The following is a 21,961-nucleotide window of genomic DNA, read 5'->3' on the forward strand; positions in this document are numbered from 1 at the left end:
TGAAACTCTGTCTCAGGCCAAGACCCATTGCCTAAAGGTTTTGAAATGTCTGTTTCTCGTCTTCCTTCCACTGGGGTAGATCATTGAGCACACAGGGGCCAGATGGCCTTGAAACCCCAGGATCCATACACCACAGACTACAACCCTCTGAGGAGACCAAGAGAAAATCCTCGGAGTTTAAAATCTGAAGTATTTACAGTCACATTCTCAGCATTGCATCCCTGGTTTTCTTCAAAGGGCAAAGACTGAGGTATGCACTGAAGAGAAATGAAAAGTTTCCAGTGAGGTTTGTGTAGAACCCTATTTCTGAGCTTGGCACCAGGTAGGTACATGAGCATGTACATGTGTGTATGTGCAGGTGCGTCTGGGGATACTTCAGTGTGTGCTTTAGACATCACCCCTGTATCACTGTTCTATAACACCATGACTTTGGAAGGACCCACATTCAGTCCCCAGAATGATGCAGATATAGAAGGCCCTTACACAGTCACTGGGAATCATAAAGGGGCAAAGATTTTCCTCATTCTTCGTATATTATTTTTTGAGTGTCCATTTTATGCCAGGTTCCCTGCTAGGCATTGAGGACGCCAAGACATTTTCCCATTTAGCACCTCTACCCCATCCCCTTACTAGCCTCACCTTGGCCCCTGTAGAGTAGGAGGGAGAATAAAAAACAAGGAGTAGGAGATGCCTCTCTGTCTGCCTTCCTTCCTTCCTTCCTTCTCTCCTTCCCTTGATCCTTCCCTTCCTTCCTCCCTCCTTCTTTTTCTCCCTCCTTCCATCCTCCTTCCATCCTTTGTTTCTAGCATGGATGAAGTATCTCTTTGACCTTCCCTGGCCATGGCTGGTGCTTCCCTCTTTGGTACCTTTGTCACCTTGTATGGAACCCTCTTGGTCCCCTGGGACTGCAGTCTTCAAGAGTCCAAAGGGGCCTCTCCTTCAGCTGGTCACTTATGGTCCTCCTTCAGCCTCTATCTCCAGTTGGGCCTCCACCTTTTTCTGCCAAGGTCTTTTTGAAGAAGCCCATGTGGACAGAGTCCCCTTAAAAATTGCTGGGCACAGTGGCTACTTGGGAGGCTGAAGCAGGAGAAGTTCTTGAGCCCAGGAGTTCAAGGCTACAATGTGCCATGATCACACCTGTGAATAGCCACTGCACTCCAGCCTGGGCAACATAGCAAGACCCTCATCTCTAAATTTTTTTTTCCTTTAATTCTAGGTGGTTATTCTTTTTTTTTTTTTTTTTTTGAGGTGGAGTCTCTGTTGCCCAGGCTGGAGTGCAGTGGTGTGATCTCGGCTCACTGCAACCTCTGCCTCCCAGGTTCAAGTGATTCTCCTGCTTCAGCCTCCTGAGTAGCTGGGATTACAGGCACCCACCACCATGTCTGGCTGATTTTTGTATTTTTAGTAGAAACAGGGTTTCACCATGTTGGCCAGGCTGGTCTCGAACTCCTGACCTCAAGTTATCTGCCTGCCTCAGCCTCCCAAAGTGCTGGGATTACAGATGTGAGCCACTGTGCCTGGCCCTAGGTGGTTATTCTTCTTGCAGTTTCCACATCTGGTACCTGCATGCCATATGCCATACTGGACCCTGTGATCCCTGCCCAGATCTCCCCTTAGGAATGAAGGACACATTCCCCCAGATGCTGTTGCTCAAGGTCACAGCCTTTCCCCAAGGTCAGCCAGGAACAATGACCAATCTATGGCAGGGGTAGAAAGGCCCCTTGACTCTGCCTTGGGACAACTCTGAAGGGCCATCCCAGCTTCAGATCCGGGCAGTGGGGGTCCACTTCTCTCTGATCCTGCTTCTTCTCCTTTCCTCCTCTGGGTGCTATCCCAAGAGCACTCTAATAAACCTTCCTCATGCTAATCTTCCCCCTCAGAGTCATCTTCCAGGAAACTCAATCTGCCACACACTCCCTTGCCATGATATAGGCAAGAGGGAGTGACTTCCAAATGGAAATGTCCTCTACAATAGGCCTCTTCAGCCAGCTGCTCACCAGTGGGCAGTCTCCTGTGTTCCACAAGCTCCAGGGACAGATATCAAGCTCTGTGTGTGGTCTCAGGTAAGCCCTAGTCACTGGACTTAAGAGACAGGAGCAAGGCATGTCCTCTCTCCATGGTATGGGGAGGAAAACTGATCACAATGTTGACAACTCAATCCTAGAACTCCAACTTTGAGTCCTCTTCTGTATCAATCCATGCACTTTCCTTGAGGTGGACAGTGGCTGGAGAAGGTACACAAAATCATTTTCAAGGAGCTCTTGTGTTCCGCATTTTGGAAGTGGGAGTAGCTGGCATTGATTGTCTTGGGAACTCAGTTGAAACTGAAGTAGGAAGAGTCCCATTTTAACACTTTGCTACAGGCCAAAGCAATGCCACAGAATAGGGAGGGTGTCTCTGACTACACCCCAACCGGCCCTGTCCTCTATGCCTGTCTTAGCCAGGTGCCAGAGAAAATCGGATGCTTGGGGCCCAATGTCATCATTTTTAGTGATATAGCACCTTCATTTCTACTCATGCCTTTTTCTAAGGTGGGGCTGGCATGTCCTTCTTATTGGCCATTCCTCCCACATGGGTGTTATTTTATCACCTCAGAGGTCACACTCATCAGCCCGGCAGCTGGGCCAGTCCAGGCTAGGCTTCTCTGGGTCCTAGCAGTGGACATGGCTGGGACTCCAGATTTTCTGGTTGTTCACCACCACCAAATTCTTACCACTCCTGTTGTTTAGGCTATAAGATTTTGCTCTCGATTTTCAAATTTAAAAATGTTAAGAGCATATAAATTGTACATATTTACCAAATTAAAAATTGGGGGAGGAAAAGGAATTACCATGTCAAAAGATACCTGATTTTGGAAGCCTTAAAACGTGTGTATTCAAAATCTGGGAAATGCAGTATGTACCCAACTGAACTATGTCCTCTTGGAGGGAAGGAAACCACCAGTGCCCTCTTCCACAGACTGATGTCTTATGCTTTCCCGGAGGCAGCAGAGCACATTGGCCCTGGACCAGTGACTCTTTCACCATTGGTTGAATGACAGTTACAAATGCACAACTCCCTTCAGAGGCAAAACTTCATTCCTAAGCCTAGCAATGGAAGATGTTAGTCTCCAAGTCATCAGTATACAGGTGTGAGGAATGGAGAAGCTGGGGTTCTTTAAAACTGCATCCTTCTTACCAGCAAGCACTTAGGAATTCAAGGAGGAAAAAAAGTTTGACTCTTGCCTCAAAAAAAAAAAAAAAAAAAAAAAGAAATCACAGAACTCTTTTTGAAAGATGACAAATTCTAGATTTGTGGGGTCAAAAGTCACAACATTTAAAAGAAGATACAGCACATGTCTGTGTGGAATATCTCACGACATTGGCCTAAAGCCAAACACAGGGGGCATAGTTTTCTGGACCTGGAGTTCAGTGACAGGGAGTGTGAGTATAGATTTTGTGAAGTCACAAAAGGGGCTGGTTTCGTTTGGATGGAGTAACATGCAAGTGTGAGGGAAGGAGTGACTCAGGCAAGGCTTTTCATAGAGAAAGAGTCTCTGCCAGCTTGTCCTCTCTCCCATCTCTGCTCCTTACCTCCCCTGCTCTCTCCACCCCGAAACCAACTAAATAGCCAGACAAGGGTCAGATGGGTATTACGTGAGATAAGGCATGTGGCAGGACAGAGGCCAGTGTACTTGCATGACTCTTAAAGGCCTCTTTTGCCTCACCCTGGTCCCAACTCCAATATGTGACAATGCATTGGAAGTTGTAAGGTACTAATGAGATAGCCCATCCTTCCAAGAGCTGTTCCTGTTAGATCCCATCCATTCCAACCTAATTTCCAACTGCATCCTGGAACATACTGTTACTTCGATGGGAGTACTGAGGCCATCTTTCTTCCACCAGCCCACTGCATCCCAGGTGCCTGCTCTCTGCCAGGTTTGTAAGTTCACACTTTATCTCTATCCCATCCTCCTGAGGGCACACCCTACAAAGAAAAGAGGAAGCAAGAGAATCAGATTTGTCCCTTGTCAAAACAAATAGGTGTTTCACTGGTGCCACAGCTTTTGTTCCCAAACCATCCAATACAGGGTTGGGGGGCAGGTAGGGAGATTTGCTGGGAGGTGGGCAGTTTGCTCCTATTTTAAGCAGCTTGGGAGCTTTGCCTACCGGTGTCCTCTGCTGCCCTCTGTGGCCACAACATCAGTGTCTCTAAAGACACCCCTCTGAATCCGGGGACCCAGCTCCCCATCCCCCACTCACTGCCCCAGCATCACCTTTCAAAGTTTTTCTCCTCTAGTTCTCCACAGGCTCTAAAAAGTAAAATTGGATGCACCCTAGCCACAGCCTGCATCTGGTTTACACTCTCAGCTCCTTCCTGCAAAGGTTATTGAGCTGAGTCCTGGAAGAAATCTCAGGCCACCCGGCTCTGCTCTAAGCAAGGCTGGGTGCAACCCTTTTGAGAGTTATTATAATGAGTTTTTGGTGTATCTCAGACACTGCCAAAATCCCGGACTTGGCAAGGTGCGGTGGCTTATGCGTATAATCCCAGCACTCTGGGAAGCCCAGGTGGGTGGATCACATGAGGCCAGGAGTTCCAGACCAGCCTGGCCAACATGGCAAAACTCCATCTCTACTAAAAATACAAAAATTAGCCGGGCATGGTGGTGCACATCTGTAGTCCTAGCTACTTGGGAGGCTGAGGCAGGGGAATAGCTTGAACCCGGGACGTGGAGGTTGCAGTGCGCCAAGATCGTGCCACTCCGCTCCAACCTGCGCAACAGAGTGAGATTGTCTAAAGAAAAAAAAAAAATCCCAGACTCAATGCCAGCTGTTTGTGTTAGCCTGGGGATCCTTCACTTATAGGGTGCAGTCTGGCCAAGAGGAAGGAGCTATATAACATGGTTGATGGAATTTCTAACATTTAAGCTCAGGGGTACATGTGCAGGATGTGCAGGTTTGTTACATAGGTAAATGTGTACCATGGTGGTCCACTGCACAGATCATCCCATCACCTAGGTATTAAGCCCAGCATCCGTTAGCTATTGTTCCTGATGCTCTCCCTCCTCCCACCCCTCACCCTCTGACACGCCCCAGTCTGTGCTGTTCCTCCCATGTGTCCATGTCTTCTTAGGTTGATGTGGTCTTGAGTGACCCCTCCTTGCCTTTCCTCTTTAAAAACAAGATCTAAAAGGCTATGTTCTCTATGGGTTGGAGGTGTTGCCTCGATCTGTCAAGCACAGTCCAGGACTCAGAGGCTGTTGTGGTGAACTACTGTAGGCACCTGGAAGCCACCAAGGTGCCCTTTTCCCGCACTCTAGTCCCAAGTGAGGGAAATAAGCCTATGGTTAAGGGAGAACTATCTACCAATTTGAACTCATTAAAATACATAAATGTGTCCACTAGAAATGGCTGGCTGGAGAAGCCCAGTACCAAATCACCCCGTTCCTGAAACCCACCAGCCCCATGAAATAGTTCGCTAGAGAGAGATTTGCAATCTTTGAATTCGTTGACTATCAACCTGTATAGGTGCTCCGTGCCCCGAGATCTGAGAAAATGACAAAATACGTCTACTTCCCGGCCGGGCACAGTGACTCACGCCTGTAATCCCAATACTTTGAGAGGCCAAGTTGGGCAGATCACTTGAGGTCAGGAGTTTGAGACCAGCCTGGCCAACATGGTAAAACTCCCGTCTCTACTAAAAATACAAAAATTAGCTGAGGGTGGTGGTGGGCGCCTTTAATTCCAGTTACTCCGGAGGCTGAGCCACAAGAATCGCGGGAAGCGGAGGTTGCAGTGAGTCGAGATGGGGCCACAGCACTCCAGCCTGGGCGACAGAGTGGGACTCAGTCTCAAAAAAAAAAAAAAAGTATTTCCCAATTCTTCGTCAGTTTTTGCCCTCTCCCCACTTCGCCTTCTCCAGGCTCCTGAAAAGTATCTCCCCCAACCCTTTCTGTGTACACGGGGAAAACACGTGTTCATTTTTATTATGGCGCTGAAACCTACCCTTCTCTTCAAATCGCTTCTGTAGATCGTTCTAGTATAAAATGTGGCAAGAGGCTAAAGGGAGAGATATAGACCAGTTCTTTGGCCCTCGCTTTCCAACTTCAAGTTACACCTGTGAAACTCATGGGTCCTTCCACAGCCTTCAAAAACTAAGGGCGTCCCCTGTCCTCTCCCCAGATGTCCCTTCCCCATCGCCGGTAGCGAGTGGGAGACAGCTCAGCGCGGGGCAGGGGAGCACTGGGCCCGGAGATGGAAGGCAGCGTCAAAAGCGCCGCTGGAAAATCCCTGAGCGCTAACCGTTGCCTGTGTGAGCCCTTAAATCTACAAATTTCCAACACCTGTAGCCTTTGGGTTTCCCAGGACTTCCATCGACCCTGGCGGCAGAGAGGGCAGGCCTGAGATGCAGTGACTTGAGGGCACATGGCCAACTCTTGTCACTCCAAGATCACACTGGGGAACCAGACTGACTTCTCCAATTCTGAACTCGCCCCGGCCTCGGGCGGCTCAAAGGGCCTCCTCTGCCGCATCCCCGCCAAAACCAAACCGCCTGGCACAAGCCGGTAAGCAACCACCCTGCTGGGAGAGGGAAGGAAGAGTAGGCGCAGCCCTAGATCAATTTCCTTGCACTGCTTCTCCCAGACGGTCAAGTCAGCTGCGTCCCACCGAAAAGGGCGCATCGCCCACGCCCGAAACGCAGCCGCTGGGGGCCGAGAAATTATCCCCACCTGGCCCGAGGGCCAGGGACGCAGGAGCGCAGCAGCGTGGAGGGGCTCCGCGCTGGCCCGGCGCTGCCCGCGGTCCTGCCCTCGTTCCAAGGGCACGGCGCCGGTACGAGGACACCGACGCTGTGGCGCAACTGCCGTCCCCCGCAGCAATCCCGGAGCCCGGCTCCCGGCCGCCCCTCGGCCCTGCGCAGGCTGCCTCTCCCCGACGCGGAGTCCCACCCCGCTACCCGCCGCCCAGACGACCTCATAAACAAGTCCTCGAAGTGCGGAGGCAGGAGGCGGGGCGCAGCGCGGGGGCAGGAGGCGGGCCAGGGTCAGGGCAGAGGCTGCGGCCGCGCGTCCCCATTGGCCGGGACGCAGTGAGCCGCCCGGAGCTCGGCGCGGGCGGGGCCTGCCGGCGCGTGCCCGCCCACACACCCGCGCCGGTGCCCGCCCCCCGCCCTCCGCGCCCGCCCCGTGCCCGCCCCAAGCCGGCCGACGGAGTTTTTAAAGTGGGCTGCCGGCCGCGGGAGCTTTACACTCGCGAGCGGACCGCCACACGGGTCCGGTGCCCGCTGCGCTTCCGCCCCAGCGCTCCTGAGGCGGCCGTACAATCCTCGGCAGTGTCCTGAGACTGTATGGTCAGCTCAGCCCGGCCTCCGACTCCTTCCGACTCCCAGCATTCGAGCCACTTTTTTTTTTCTTTGAAAACTCAGAAAAGTGACTCCTTTTCCAGGGAAAAAGGAACTTGGGTTCCCTTCTCTCCGTCCTCTTTTCGGGTCTGACAGCCTCCACCCACTCCTTCCCCGGACCCCGCCTCCGCGCGCAGGTTCCTCCCAGTCACCTTTCTCCACCCCCGCCCCCGCACCTAGCCCGCCGCGCGCCACCTTCCACCTGACTGCGCGGGGCGCTCGGGACCTGCGCGCACCTCGGACCTTCACCACCCGCCCGGGCCGCGGGGAGCGGACGAGGGCCACAGCCCCCCACCCGCCAGGGAGCCCAGGTGCTCGGCGTCTGAACGTCTCAAAGGGCCACAGCGACAATGACAGCTGACAAGGAGAAGAAAAGGTAAGCGGGCGTCCGGGCCGATCAGGGGGCCGGTCCGAGGCCAGGGCCGGGCTGCGCGGGGCAGGCGCGACCGAGAGTGGTTGGGAGAAGAGTGCTGAGAGGTCTTCGGAGCTCGAGGCTCGGTTTGGAGGGCTGTGAGGGGGAGAGCATGTGCCCGGTTTGGGGGCGCGGATCAGCAGCTTTGCAGTGGAGACTTCTGCGGCTCGGAGGAGTCGGGGATTTGCGCGCACGGCGAGGCCAGGAGGCCGAGGGAGATGGCCTGGAGGTCGGAGGTGCTTCCGCGGTGCCTTTGAAAATCTCCCAGCCGCCCCGCAGCAGATTACCGTGGCCACCGGCGCTTGGAAATGTTTGTGGGTGCATGTCCTCGACTTTCTCTGGTCTCTCATTTTGGGGCAGCATCCACGTCTCTATTTTTCTCTGGATTCGCGGAGTCCTTCCAAATGCGCTCCTGTGCCCGCGCCGCGGCCCAAGTGGGCAAAGGGGGGCGGGAGGCGGAGAGCGGCTCAGGGACACGATCCTACCGAGGAGCCAGGACCCTTCAGAGCGCCCCGCTGCCGGGCTCCAGACCCCACCGAAGGTTGGAGAACCCACTTCCTCGTGCCGCACCTTGACTCTGGGGAGAGTAGGTAGTGAGTGACCTGGATTGCCCTGCGGGGGCAGATGGTTCGGTGTGTAGGAAGCGGACGGCAACACTGGATGTCCCTGGCAGGTCCGGGTGTCTGTCTCCGAAGAGGACAGAGAAGGGCAGCCACGATCTGCCCGCCTGCCCTCGCGAGCCTCTCGGCACTGGGTGAGAGGCAACTCTGGCCATTTCTTGCTGCCCTCTCGCCCTCTCCCGGCCGCTCCCAGTCCAGCCGGGCCCGGCGCTACCCGAGCGAGGGTTCGAGCCCTCTGCGCGGCCGCGCAGAAGCAGGCAGGGCCTCAACTTCTGCAAATGTGTGCGGCTCGCCGCCTGTCCCCTTTCTCCTCCTGTCTCCACCCGTGCGGCCCCAGTGGCCTGGAGCTTCCAGCCCCGCGCTTGGCCGCGGCTTGGCGAGGCTATGCTGCGGGAAGCTGGAATCCAACGCGCGGCCGGCTGAACCGCCTGAGCCGCGGGAAACCAGCGGCGGAGCGGCGGTATAGAGGTGCGAGGATGAGGAGGACCGACTCGCTAAGGGAGGGAGGTGACTGGCCGGGAGGGCTCACTGCCGAGGTTGATTTGCTCTTGTTCCAACTTCCACTACGGGACTGGAGCCAGAAACCGTGTATCCTCCGGTCGAAAGCAGCGGTTCCCACCTCGGGGCACCGATAAGGATTTGATAAACGGGAGCGAATCGCGCCTGTCCTGGCTCGGCGCCCGGGCCCTTCACTGCGGGATCGCTAGGGGAGGGGATTGGGCCCTGCTCCCCTTTCCTGGCCGTAGTCCCCCCTTTCTCGTCACCGTCGCGCCCTCAGACCCAAGACAAGTGAGGGAGCCCTGAGACTGCAGCCGGCACATTCCCAGGGCCCTCGGAGCAGTCCTGGGGTTCCATGTCTTTTGAAGGCAGCAGAGCAAGGAAAAGACTCTTAAGATTCCAGTGCGTTTTGTAAAAACCAATCATAATGCTAATAATGACTGAACCATCGAAAAGCAAAGTTATAGACAGCGCCTGCAGACGCTTTCGGGTCCGGAGCCGGGGAGGGAACTTGTGTATTTTACAACTGCGATGCCTATCGGGAATGTGGCAATCGCCGAGGTGGGGCCTGACAGTAATCTTGACAAATGTGTGAAGTGTCAGCTCCTCCTGCGCTCCTTAGCGCCGGGTTTTGTGCAGTTTTGTACCGTATATACCGAGAAACTTGGGAGCAGGGGAAAAATGATTTCGACACACCCAGCTACAGTACCTGGTTCGTTAGCGGACTGTTGGAAAGAGAGAAGAAGCGGGAATGGGAGCGGGAAGAACGTTGCGTAATTAGACTCCCAATTATTGGCGAGAGCGGCCGCTTTAAGAACCACTGTGGGGACTGCCTGCGAAACGCCTTGGAGGCCGCTGTGTGAGCTGCGGCTCCGGGCTGGTGGCCACGCGAGGGTGTCCGCCCTCTTCGACCTGCCTGGATTTTTGTGCTGCAGAATGGCAGGGCAAACAGCGTGTCCTTCACCATCTAGAGCCCCTTAAGGGGTTGTCCAATTCCTATTGGGCTAATCAGTTTGAGACTCATTTACTTTTCGTGCCTGGGTCTGTTTGCTGGCTGCAGGCTTCTTTAGGGACCAAGATGTAATTAAAATATGTGAACCAATACATTGAAAGTTGGTGTTGTCATGTAAGTGACTGCTGTAGCTTTTCTGAGTGCCTCACAAGGGCGATGTGACAGTGAGGGGGCTCTCTGCTGATGATTCTGCCCACTAGTTCTTACATTTTGTGTTTCTTTGGTTTAGCAGAGCAGTTTCTTCCCCCAAATGCAATATGGGCAGAACATTTGGAATATTCGTTCTAACAATGGCCCGTCAAGAAGTGGGCAGATGATTTTGTCCCAGAATGTTCACACGTCGATAAATATGTTAATGTTTAATAATAAAGAGTTTGCTTTCTAAATGTTAGTTGGCTGGGTGTCCTTGATAGTACCAGTTTTGGTGGTAGTGGGCATTTGCGGTGACATCACAGATGTCAGAAACTGAAGCCTGGTGGGTGGGGGTACTGCACTTTCACTCACCTTTTTGTGCACGCATCTATCAGGAATGCCTGAGTCCTTTCACTGGGAAAAAAATGTGGAAATTCTGGGATTCACGGGGTTTGAGGAGTGGTTCAGGCAAATGTAAATGAGATCCTTGGATAATCAGGGATCAAAGTCCAGTCCCAAAGCCAGACCTAGGTCCAGACACCTTCCCAGAGTGCTTATACAGTAGTGCTCAGTACAGGGCTAGCGTGGAAGGGGAATTGGAGACACCTGGATCTCCAATCTCCCCCTCCTTCTGACAGCTGGACTTAGTTGTTCCTCTTCTAAAATCAAATCAAACTCCATCATTATTCCAACTCTGAAGGGAAAAAATATTGCTGGACAGTTTCTCTCAATTTAAACATATATTTTAAATAAATATTCCCTCCACACTTGATATGTTTCCATTGTATTACCAGCAGCGCAGGATGATACAGAATTGATGTAACACATTGTTGGCTTGAGTATTTAAGTTTTAATTCATACAGTTTTCATGAAGTTCAAAAGAATGCCATCATTTCAAGTTTTTTTCAGTGGTGCTTATAGGGAGCCTAGAATTATTTTATAAGAGACCATGGAAATCATCTAGTCAGACTTTTCTCTTTCTGGATAAGGAAACTGATGCCGAGAGAGGTTAAAAGACTTCTCCGGTCACAAGGAAAATTAGTGCTGATAAGAGTCAGGGCTGGTCGCGGTGGCTCATGCCTGTAATCCCAGCACTTTGGGAGGCTGAGGCTGCGGATCACCTGAGGTCAGGAGTTCAAGACCAGCCTGGTCAACATGGTGAAACCCCGTCTCTATTAAAAACACAAAAAAATTAGCCGGGCGTGGTGGTGGGTGCCTGTAATCCCAGCTATTCTGGAGGCTGAGGCAGGAGAATTGCTTGAACCCGGGAGGTAGAGGCTGCAGTGAGCGGAGATAGCGCTGCTGCACTCCAGCCTGGGCAAGAGTGAAATTCCGTCTCAAAGAAAAAAAAAAAAAAAAAAGTCAGAACCCTGGTTTATTACTTTCAATTAAGTATGTATTTTCCTATTGTTCACAGGAGAGTACCCCAGCCCTGAAATATCTCTAGATAGTGAGGATGATTTCCGAAGGAGTGCCTTCCCCATCACAACTCTCAAACCGCTGAACCTTATAGAAAGGAGATTTGCTTTTCTGGATAATTATCAACACCTTTAGGCTGCAGTAGAAGTGATGATTCTGTTTGCTTTTTGAAAAAAAAAAAAAAAGGAAGCAGAGTTGAATTGATGCTGTTCCCAGTGTCTGTAAACTTTGAGAAGTATGAATTCATTGTTTTAGTTAGAAAAAAATCTACTTATATAGGTAGACCTCATTAAACAAAACCAATGCAAGGACCGCTCCTCAGTGGAGCAGATTGCTTTTTGAGGTAGAGAACATTCAAGCAGCTGCTAGATTGATTTTTGTACTGGGTTAGTTGGCATTTTCACTAGGAGTGAAAACTGTGAGACTAAACAGTTTAATTTACTTAGAATGTCCCTCTTTCTCTCTGTGTGTGTGTGTGTGTGTGTGTGTGTGTGTGCCCGTGCGTCGGGGGGGGGGGCAGTGGTGATTCTCAACTTTCTAGGAATTTATTAAGTAAAGTGTTTAGAAATGGAAGGAAACAATTAGATAATTCTCAGTGCTCCAGGATTTTAGGCTCCTACATTTGAAAATACTTGCTGTCATTAATTGTCTTGAGATTTAGGCTTTTCCACTTTTCAGGAAATCTAGTAGTTTTTTGGGGGTTTTGTTTTGTTTTCCTTGGTTCTGCCCTATGCCAACCTGCTAGTTTCCCTTTTTATTTTAGCCTGATGAATCTTCCCTTTTGCTTTCAGTACTAACCATTGCTGGTAGTTCTTAACAGGTCTAGCTTTTACCAATATTGTCAAGTTAGCAATATTAGCTCCTGGGGCCCTAGTACTCTGTACTTCCACCCCTCTCCCCACCAGTACCATGCTGCCTGTTCACATGATGGACACCAGCTCTGATATTCACCCTAAGATATAATCCATAAGATGACAAACTTGTATTCAACACCGACTCCTACTCTGGCTAAAATGCTGAAGAGAATACTAAGAAATAGGGGATATGGTCCTGGTCATCAAGTTGCTTAGTCTGATTAGGAAAAAAAAAAAAAAAAAAAAAAAAGAGATACAAGGAAGCTTAAGTAAAAATATAAGGGGTTGGGCGTGGTAACTCATGCCTGTAATCCCAGCACTTTGAGAGGCCGAGGCAGGCAGATCACGAGGTCAGGAGTTTGAGACCAGCCTGGCCAATATGGTGAAACCCCATCTCTACTAAAAATACAAAAAATTAGCCAGGCGTGGTGGCGTATGCCTGTAGTCCCAGCTACTCAAGAGGCTGAGGCAGGAGAATCGCTTGAACCCGGGAGGCGGAGGTTGCAGTGAGCCGAGATCGTGCCACTGCACTCCAGCGTGGGTGACAGAGCGAGACAACGTCAAAGAAAGAAAGAAAAGAAAGAAAATATAAAGAGCTGACAGCCTACATGCTTTTCTGTAGAAATCTAATATTTTGAAGCAAAAGATAAGCTCTGAGTAGCATTTCAGGTAATAACCGCCCCCCTCCCCAACACACACATAAGCACACACAATTATTTAAGAGTATTATGTGTATTTAGAGGTGGAGAAATTTGTTCCTAGTGTCCCCGGAACCACACAGAGTAGGTGCTGACCACCAGCTTAAAGACTGGCTCAGAAGGAAGGTCAAATGGGAGAAGGCAGTCTTTGAGGGCTAACGAGAGGAAAGAAAACACACAAGGCTCCCTATGGTGTATCCCTTATCATGTACTTCGACACCATACACAGGAAGGCCCCTGAAATGGAATGTTTGCTGTTCTTTATACACTTGCTTTGGGTGGGGACATGGAAAGGGAGCTGGTGGGGCTCCACAGACAACAGGGGTAGTAATTTCTGTTCCCCTGAGAATATCAGTGGAGACAGCTATGACTCCAGGAAGGCCAAGAAGGGAGAGGGAGCTTCTTAACCAGGCTTTGTGAATGGGTTTCAGAGGCTGGCGTGTAAATCTCTGAAAATGTGTGCAAGACATTATGTATAGAAGCAACTTGTTCTAAAGGAAGTCTGTTCAGCTCTCCATAGCCTTTCAAAGGTTCTAGGATATGGAAAAGGCAAGCCCTTGCTCTTGGATGTCTGATTTGGTGACTGTCTTATGTTTCAGAGTCTTCCTGTTCAGATCCCAGACAGTTCTTGTGTTTTACTGCCATTGCCTCTCCCTGTGGTGAAGAATGGGGAGGAGGAAGGTGTGTGTATTTAGTAAAGGTTCTGAGGTGCCGCTTAATCTTCCCTGTCCCTGGCTGGCGTGTCCGTCCACCTACATGTCTGCCCTCAGTCTTGGAAGGACGGGAAGCCAAGTGCCCTGCACAGGGTAAATACTGGTATGATTCATTTTATTAATGCTTCTGAAAAATGACTGTGAAAACAAATTTATCCTCAAATGTTCCATCATCCTCAAACAGTTATTTGGATGACCTTCATGTTCTAGGAATGTATGTGGTCTTAATAGAAATTATATTTTGCATCAGGACAACACAAAAAACTGACAGTCTTATTTGTGCCAGTGCCGTCCTCAGAACTTTACATGGATTAACTTTTTAATCCTGTGAGATAAGCCCTGTTATTATCCCCACTTCATTGATGGGAAAGCTGAAGTCTAGAAGGGCTAACTGCCCAAGGTCGTATAGGTAGCATGGGCAGAGCTGCATTCAACCTGAGTAAAGGAGGTCCCCAGAGTCTATACTCTCAATGGGTGTTCCATACGCCCTTCCCTTACTGAAGATATCTATAAAGTATTTAATACTGCTTCTGACTCACAATAAGTGCTCTATAAATGACAACTGCCTTTGTTGTTTTCCTTGTAATTATAATTACTTTTCTTTTTTGTGATTTATCACTTGCATCAAACCTCACAAGCAGATAGGGATTGAAGATCTGAAAGGCCAACATGGAACTCCTTGAATTTCTTATTTTTCATGGGTTTTCCTAGACCCTGACAAGAGGTGGTTCTCTCCTGCCCCAAGAAATTCAAAGCTTTCCACATCCCACCCTTCGCTGGTGGCAAGACTTCAATAATTACTTCAGCCTTCGGACTCCATTGTGCAGGAGAACCTGTTAGAAGCTCTTCCTCTGTGGCTTCTGAAGAACCATCAAGATGCACAGGACTTCCTGTGGCTCTTTTGATCTTTTGAAATTGCAAGCACAGGAAGGAAAGAATGGATAGGGGGATAAAGAATAGCTATGATTGTTGTGATAATAGCATGTTGCATTTCTATAGAGCCCTTTCGCTGATGAGCCCTGAGCCTTAACAGCCATCACACTGTTGGCCCCTGCACTGTGAACCTAGAGGGTACCTTGAGTTTTTCTAGTGCTGCCAAACAGAATTGCATTGACACATACCTTAATCAAGAGAGAAGCAAGCCGTGTTGGCAACTGTGCATCACAGTCGATGTGGTGGTCATCCATGGGATGCCCCTAATAGCATCTGTAATTTTCAAGTAGATGTTGGGTGTAATTTGGTGACCCTTGTCTGTTCCCACTGTTGGAAGCCCCATAACTGATCTGATGAAAGCATAAAGTGAAGAAGAGTGGCGAGACCCTTTGTGAGATACCTGGAGCTGAAGAGTCAGGTGTGGAATGGACAAGAATGTTATCCACTTCTAAGTGACCTTGTTTTTTCTAATTTCTTAAGAAATACCTGTTTGCTTGACTGCCTTAGGCTGTTTGCAGGGGCCACTTGTACGTCAGCAAAACTCTTACTAGATGACATCACTGCCAGAAGTTCCACATGTTTCCAGGAGGCACATTTCCCACTGCCCCCACTCCCCCGAACTTGGAAAGATTCCTCAGTTTTAAAGTTATAAGTAATTTCCATGCCAGATAATGATCCTGTGAACAGATCCTTTTCTCATGTGGAAAAATATTTCAGAAAGGGTGTCTTGTCAATGAGAAAAATGACCCCATTGAAACATATGTTTATTTGCCATGTACTCATCTGACGTTTTGTGAATTCTATAAAGCCATGGAAGTGGATTGTTAGAAGTGTCTCATACACCCCTAGTGACTTCTTGAACTATCCCCCCATCCCCAGCCATGGAACTCTCCTATTAAAAAAACTAAGAGATAAGTGGTAGCAATCTTAACAAATTAGTGATTTTATCTGGTTAGGCCGTGTAATCAAACACGTGGGCAGGAAAGTGGATCCATTATGTTGTACTCATGATTGTGGTGCTGAAGGTAACCCCCATTGCCCTGTAGGCTGCCCCCAGAAGCAGGGGGTACAGCCAATAGTATTCTTAGAAGTTAATCAATTCTGTAACGGGTTGAGTGTTTTGGTCTCATTTTTAGTCCGAGGTGCCCTGATGCTGGCCTGTGACTAAGGGGAGTCAGTGGCTTGTTATGAATAAGAGGACACATGAGCTGAATCTGAGAAAGTTCAGAAGCATTTTATAAGTTGTTTAAAATACATCCATTAAAGTATATGATTATTTTTTGGTAATCATTTAAATCATTGTGCTGTGTGTCTACCCAGACAGTATTTATCTGTCTCTCGATGTTGTATTAGTATAGTATTAAAAAAATACACACATTTCACTTTTGATAAAAACTTTGCATACTGTCACTACTTTGTATAAGTTTTTTCCTGACTGCCTCTGGTTAGGGGGCAGGGAGCAAGAAGACCAGCATGCTTTCCTTCCTTTATATTTGGGAAATGGAGGTGCTGAGAGAAACAAGCCACACTGTCTGAAGTAAAACCTAGAAGTGGACCTGGTTGTCCATGGTGAGGGAAAGCCCATATGTACCACCTTGGGCTCCAGTTACAAGGTAATGAGCCATGAGCACAAAAGGGTGACTCAAAATTCAATGCCAGCCATTCTCATTACTAATGAGCAATTACAGCAAATATTTACAGGCCTCCTTCCTACCTTTATGACTTCCTGTTACTGAAGCACTTTGGAGTATTGAGAAAGATTGTCCTGGAAAAATACGTCACACACAGTTGCAGGAAAGAGTGCCTTTAAGCACACATAAAAACTCGGTTACTTGGCTTTGTTTATGAATTCCACATAGAAACAACAGAAAATTGTGCCTTTTGAGGAACTGCTTGAGAATCCTTCCTTCTGCATTTCAAGACAAGATTTTAAAAATCACATATATCAAATATATGGGGAAATGAGACACAATGTTTTTAGAGAGTGTCTAGAAATAATAGGACTGTGCAAGTTAGTACAGCAAAATTTTGGGTCAAAGCATGGGTCATTTGACAAACTCTCTTTATGAACATTACCTCTGCAATATTTTTCTAAATGAAAACAATCACACTTAATAGAATTAATCAGGATGGGAGCTAGAAGCATATAATTCACTTTCCACAGATTGGAGTAAATCCTCATAATGCCCCTTTCCTGTGTATTTAGTTAAAAAAGCACTCCAGTGAGATTGCTTTCGCAGTAAGTTTCTGTAAACCACTGTACCCTTGTATTTCTCTCCTGTGTTTCCAAGAGTTCTCAGATGCTATTTTCGAATGGCAGCGTTCACTCCAGAGCTGGCTGAGGTCAACGAAGCTAATTTTGGTGCCTTGGTGCCCAGGGTGAAGGGAGAGAGAAGTCCTCTGCAGAGCCAAAAGGACTCTCTGGGGCCTGGGTTTGGAGCAGTGTGGTGTTGCTGGACACACCACATTTCACCTTTAGAACCTTTATTTGTGTGCTTGCACAACAAATGTTTACCCAGATATTAAGATAAGGAAAGTATGAAGGTCACATTTCACTGGTGACAAGAGAGCTTCTATAAATGTAACCATATCGTTGTGCAGCGGGAGTCTGTCTTTTATTCTGTACCCGGGACTTAGGGGGAATTATTGGTGGGTGGGGCATGGGAGTTGAGGCTCTTCTTGGTTTTCTGGCTTTCTTGCTATCACTCTGTTTGTCTTGCCTCAGCTGATGTGCGCCTCCCATTTGGTAAGGGCCTTTGTCATGGCCAAGACATCTAAAGAAATCCTAGTCTGTGTGGCTGGGCACTGTGTGGTCCCCTGACTCTCTGGAGTCTTCCAGAGTTCCATGGAAATTAGTGCCCCCGTGCATTTCCCTGCCGACTGACTGGAAGGCACCCTGGCTGCTGAGATCGCTTTCCTGGTCCCCCAGAAGAGGTCCACATGGTGCTGATCCTGCAGCTGTTTTAGGCCTCCTCAGCGGGATTGTCCTATCCTCGGAGCACAGAGAATCTTCAGAGTGGGATAGGGGTTTCTTTTGTGGATTTGGGTTTCTCTTAGGGATCTCCAAAGATTAGCTAGACACTCAGGGCCTCAGTAAAGACATGGGTCCTTGGTCTAGTTTTCTTCCCAAGGGCAGCCACCATGGCAGTGGGAGTTCACCTTGCTGACTGCAAGGGACCCCACCTCACCTCTATCGCCCATTCACCATCATTCACTGTGCCTCCTGAGTTCCTAATACACAAGCCTCCTCCCACAGCCTCAAAGGCAGTGCTGCAGTACTCATTCCCACTTCTATTCCCTCACACTAGCTCCTCCATCTGGATGCTTTTCCCCTCTCTTCCTATTCAAATAGCTCCTACTTTTCTATTGTGAGCCCAGGCTTCCCGAAATCTTACACAAAATCACTAAGGGAGCGTAGAAATTTCCACAGTGGCACTCCCACTCCCTGCATTACTAGCTTTTGGTTGTTTGCCAAAGAGCCTGCTTATATTTCCTTGTTATCTAATGACACTTTATTTGTTTTTGCCTTTCTAACAATATAGCATGTTCCTGAAGGCCAAGGATGTCTGATTTTCTGATGTGCCCTAATACCTTGCTTGCTTTTTTTTGGGGGGGGGGGCTCTGAAATCATGCTTAGTTTTTTAAAAAAAATAATAGAATTGCTTTGTTCATGTCCCTTGGGTTACTTGGAAAGCCTGCCTCACAAGCTCTGCTTTCTTTATTCATGTAGATTTGACCCCTTTACTTATTTCCCTTTAAAAAGAAAGAAAAAGGAAAAGAAAAAATTTGGGGGACCACAGTCAGGTCTTATTGATACATAACTTTATATCAGATGCAAACGTCAGGCTAGTATTATATCAGTGCTTCACTTCAAGAATGCCTTATACACTAATGTGAGTACAGCCAAACAGAATACTCCAGCTTAATCTCAACGTTAAAAGCAAGATGGGGAAGTTGTGCAAGAGGGCACTAGCTCTCAGTTCAGAGATCATCTTCCCTGGGAAGCCTTCCCTGATTAACTGCACATTGGTTACCCCTGTGTTTATAGATGGTCTTCAGTCTGTATTTTGTTATTTGTATGATGCTTTTACAACTTGCTTTTGAAGGTTGGGGGTGGCGTATGTCCCTGATCACCACTCAAGTGGTAAGCCCTTCAAGAGCAAAGACCCAGTCATTTTTTCCTGTTCTTTTTTCCCCACAGAAGTCAGAATAGAGGTCTCTTGAGGTGCTCAGTAATTATTTGTAGACTGAGTAATTCTGTCTATGTCAGGAACTTTGGGAGTTTGGTGTAGAGAACTGGAAGCACAGGTAGACACTTTGCTCACATCAACCTAACTTATCCTCATTGCTTATCCACCATGCGTAGAGCAGGGTTTGTGGGAATCATCACTGTGTGTAGATGTTTATAGGTTCCCTCCCAAATTCAGGTGCTATGCTGTACGGTGAGGTTACAAAGAGGCATTAGATGGACCCTGCACTCAGGATGTCCTAAAATGATTTGTTTAAGCAATATAAGATGATTTATGTTAATGGATGTCCAAGCTGCCTTTACAATGTTGCCATCTTGTTAGGAAGTCACAACCAACTCAGATAAAACATTGAGCAAACAATGGAAGATTGATAGTAATTAAGTGAGAGTGAGTAAGGGTAAATAGATCTTGTGTGTTGGGAATAGTTAGGGAAGTGATTAGTGGAGATTAGAGGGAGGTTTATTGGAGGAGCATGAAGACCTAGGTCTGTCTTGAAGATTAGGTAGAATTTGGATAGGCAGATGAGTATGGGGCATTCCATTTGAGGTGAATTGCGTAAGTAAAATGAGAAGGCAGCAATAAACAGAGTGTGCAGGCCAGGACTGGTGAGCCAGTTCCTTCCAGGGCTGGATCTGGAGCTCTGTTAGCAGAAAGGAGATGAGGACCAGGCCTGGGCTGGTGTTGGGAAGTTTAGGGGCAGGCCTTCCTGAGTCATGTTGTGATGGAATCTTTGGGTTGCCTTGGGGCCATGGGAGCAGTGCATGCCTCTTCTGGCACATGAGAAGCTGCTCAGGGCATCTCCATCATTAGCCCTCCAACCAGAAGCCTAGCTCTAGTGTGAGCATCAAGTGGGTGGTTGGAGGAGGCCATGATTTGTCTTCTATAATATTGACCTCAAAGCCTCCCCTGCTAGCCCTTAGTAAATCAGGCATGTGTGAATGTGCCCAAATCACTCTGATATATGTTTCTTTTTGGCCTGTACCACTTCTCAGGGTAATAAACGCCATGTCTGAGTCTCCTAGTGCATGGAGTGGGAGCTGGAAGAGGACAGCTTGCTGTATCCTAAAATAGCAGTGACCCTCATCCCCATGTTCTCTTTCTGATGGTAAAGACTTTGTCCCCCTCATTATTTGATAAGGTTCTCTTTCTGATGGTAAAGCCTTTGTCCCCCTCATTATTTGATAAGGCTCTCATTCTGTCCCTTTCTCATTCTGGATTCTAGGTTTTTGAGTCTAACCATTATGGAAAGAGAACAGTCCCTTCAATATCCCACTATCTGTAGGGCATGACACAGCCAAATCCAAGTCAGACCATCCCTTTGATCAATTTCTACCAATAACTGTTCATTGCACACCCTGTACAAAGCACTGCGACCAAGCTGTTCCTTGACCTTCTCCTTTCCTAGTGTTTGGTCACAACACTCCCTAAAGCCCTAACTCAAGTTCTTGGGATGATACCACCAGAAGAGGGAAAAAAGGAGCCGTCTTCCTGAAGTCACCTGGGTAGAGCAGCTGGGGATTTTTCCCTCCTCGAGCAGGTGTAACCTTTCCCCTGGAGGAATTTAGAAACACTTAAAGTCATACCTGAACACTGTGGGCCAGGCCTTGGCCAGAGATCCCAAGTCACTGGAGAAGATTCCATTCCAGGGACCAGTAGAGGCCAGCGGGTCTCATCCAAGTCACTTTAGCTCATTCTGTCCACCGGTACTTTGAGGGAGGCTATATAACTCCTGAGTACTTTTGGCTTAGAATTTAACCTCACAATGACAACTGCGTGTTTGGCCTTTTTTTTTGAGACGGAGTCTCGCTCTGTTGCCCAGGCTGGAGTGCAGTGGCACGATCTTGGCTCACTGCAAGCTCTGCCTCCCAGGTTCACGCCATTCTCCTGCCTCAGCCTCCCCAGTAGTTGGGACTACAGGTGCCTGCCACGATGCCCAGCTAATTTTTTTTGTATTTTTAGTAGAGACGGGGTTTCACCGTGTTAACCAGGATGGTCTCGATCTCCTGACCTGTGATCCACCCGCCTCGGCCTCCCAAAGTGCTGAGATTACAGGCGTGAGCCACTGCACCCAGCATATTTGGCCTCTTATTCCTTTTCTGTCCCTCTAGTAATCAATAAATGCTTGTAAAACTGGGAAACTGCTGCCTGGCCCAGGCAGGATTGGTTGGTTCAATGACTCGCTCCACAGTCATTCTCTGCTCATTGCCTACTCTGTGCAGGCTGCTGAGCCTCAGGCCCGAGAGCAGGGAAGGGCCCTCTACAGTTAGGTGGAAAGGAGCCTGGACTGTCAGAACCAGGAAAAGACTGCAGGTGCCAGAGAGCTTTGGAGCACAGCGCAGCCCAAACTAAGGGACTAGTTTCAAGAATCTCCTAAGAACTCCCCTAGGCTAGAAAGTGTTGTTTACCCAAATCTTGCCATGGCTAGAAATTTGAGTCTAGCATCTACCTTCTCACAGCTCCAGGTGGACCTCCAGAAGGAAAAGGAAGATGTCCTACCAAGCTAACCTGTGACTAGATATCTGTTAGGGTGTGAAACCTGTGAACATATCCACGTCTTTTCCTTTGTGTTCATTTCCTTTTCTCTTCCTTTTTAAAGTAAAACATCCTTTTGAAAAGTTCCAACTTTGCCTTTGCTGAACTCCTAGCAAGTACTTTTCCCCACCTTGGCTAGTGAGATGTTGAGACATGGGCACACCTGAGGGTGGTGTGGTCACTGTGGCCGCCAGCCAGCCCAAGGCCTTGGGAAAGCCTGGTGAGCAGAAAACCCAGGCAGAAAGGAGTCTGGGTGACTGTGAGCATTGATCCCTTTGTTCCTGAGTCATCTCTTTTGAGCACATTTGAAACCATTTTCCATACCCAAATCAACATAATCTTGGTGATTCCAGGCCACCTGTATCTCCTTGTATGGCTCCAAATATTACCAGGGCAATGACGACAACTTAATTCTTCTTGAGTTAGATCTTCAGGGCCAAGGCACAGTACATGTTTATTTTGGAGAGAGACAAACTTTCACCCACTTGAATTTCTTTGCCTCCAAAAT

The 21,961-nt window shown here is 48.6% G+C and overlaps 1 protein-coding gene and 1 long non-coding RNA gene across 3 annotated transcripts in view, besides 3 other annotated features; both read left to right on the top strand.

Moving 5' to 3' along the window:
* The window catches only part of LOC101926974 (uncharacterized), a 44,062-nt gene extending 43,745 nt beyond the window's left edge, over positions 1-317 (top strand). For both annotated transcript variants that reach the window (XR_940051.4, XR_940050.4), the window contains exon 3: positions 238-317. This is a non-coding gene — a long non-coding RNA (uncharacterized LOC101926974). The remainder of the gene's footprint in view (positions 1-237) is intronic.
* Positions 1,073-1,574: an enhancer, noted in NCBI's record as "H3K27ac hESC enhancer chr2:46518393-46518894 (GRCh37/hg19 assembly coordinates)". NCBI's record gives its function as "activates a minimal SCP1, AML or CMV promoter by ChIP-STARR-seq in primed H9 embryonic stem cells {active_cell/tissue: H9 hESC(primed)}" and the evidence as "EXISTENCE:reporter gene assay evidence [ECO:0000049][PMID:30033119]".
* Positions 6,680-7,259: a silencer, noted in NCBI's record as "silent region_11446". NCBI's record gives its function as "represses an Ori minimal core promoter by ATAC-STARR-seq in GM12878 lymphoblastoid cells {active_cell/tissue: GM12878}" and the evidence as "EXISTENCE:reporter gene assay evidence [ECO:0000049][PMID:35858748]".
* EPAS1 (endothelial PAS domain protein 1) overlaps positions 7,226-21,961 on the top strand; it is an 89,291-nt gene continuing 74,555 nt past the window's right edge. The window contains exon 1 of the mRNA NM_001430.5: positions 7,226-7,756. Within this exon, the coding sequence (NP_001421.2) occupies positions 7,731-7,756 (26 nt within the window). The 5' untranslated portion in view covers positions 7,226-7,730. The remainder of the gene's footprint in view (positions 7,757-21,961) is intronic.
* Positions 7,490-7,819: a silencer, noted in NCBI's record as "silent region_11447". NCBI's record gives its function as "represses an Ori minimal core promoter by ATAC-STARR-seq in GM12878 lymphoblastoid cells {active_cell/tissue: GM12878}" and the evidence as "EXISTENCE:reporter gene assay evidence [ECO:0000049][PMID:35858748]".

Source organism: Homo sapiens, chromosome 2, assembly GCF_000001405.40.
Source record: "Homo sapiens chromosome 2, GRCh38.p14 Primary Assembly".
In the NCBI taxonomy this organism is placed as follows: domain Eukaryota; kingdom Metazoa; phylum Chordata; class Mammalia; order Primates; family Hominidae; genus Homo; species Homo sapiens.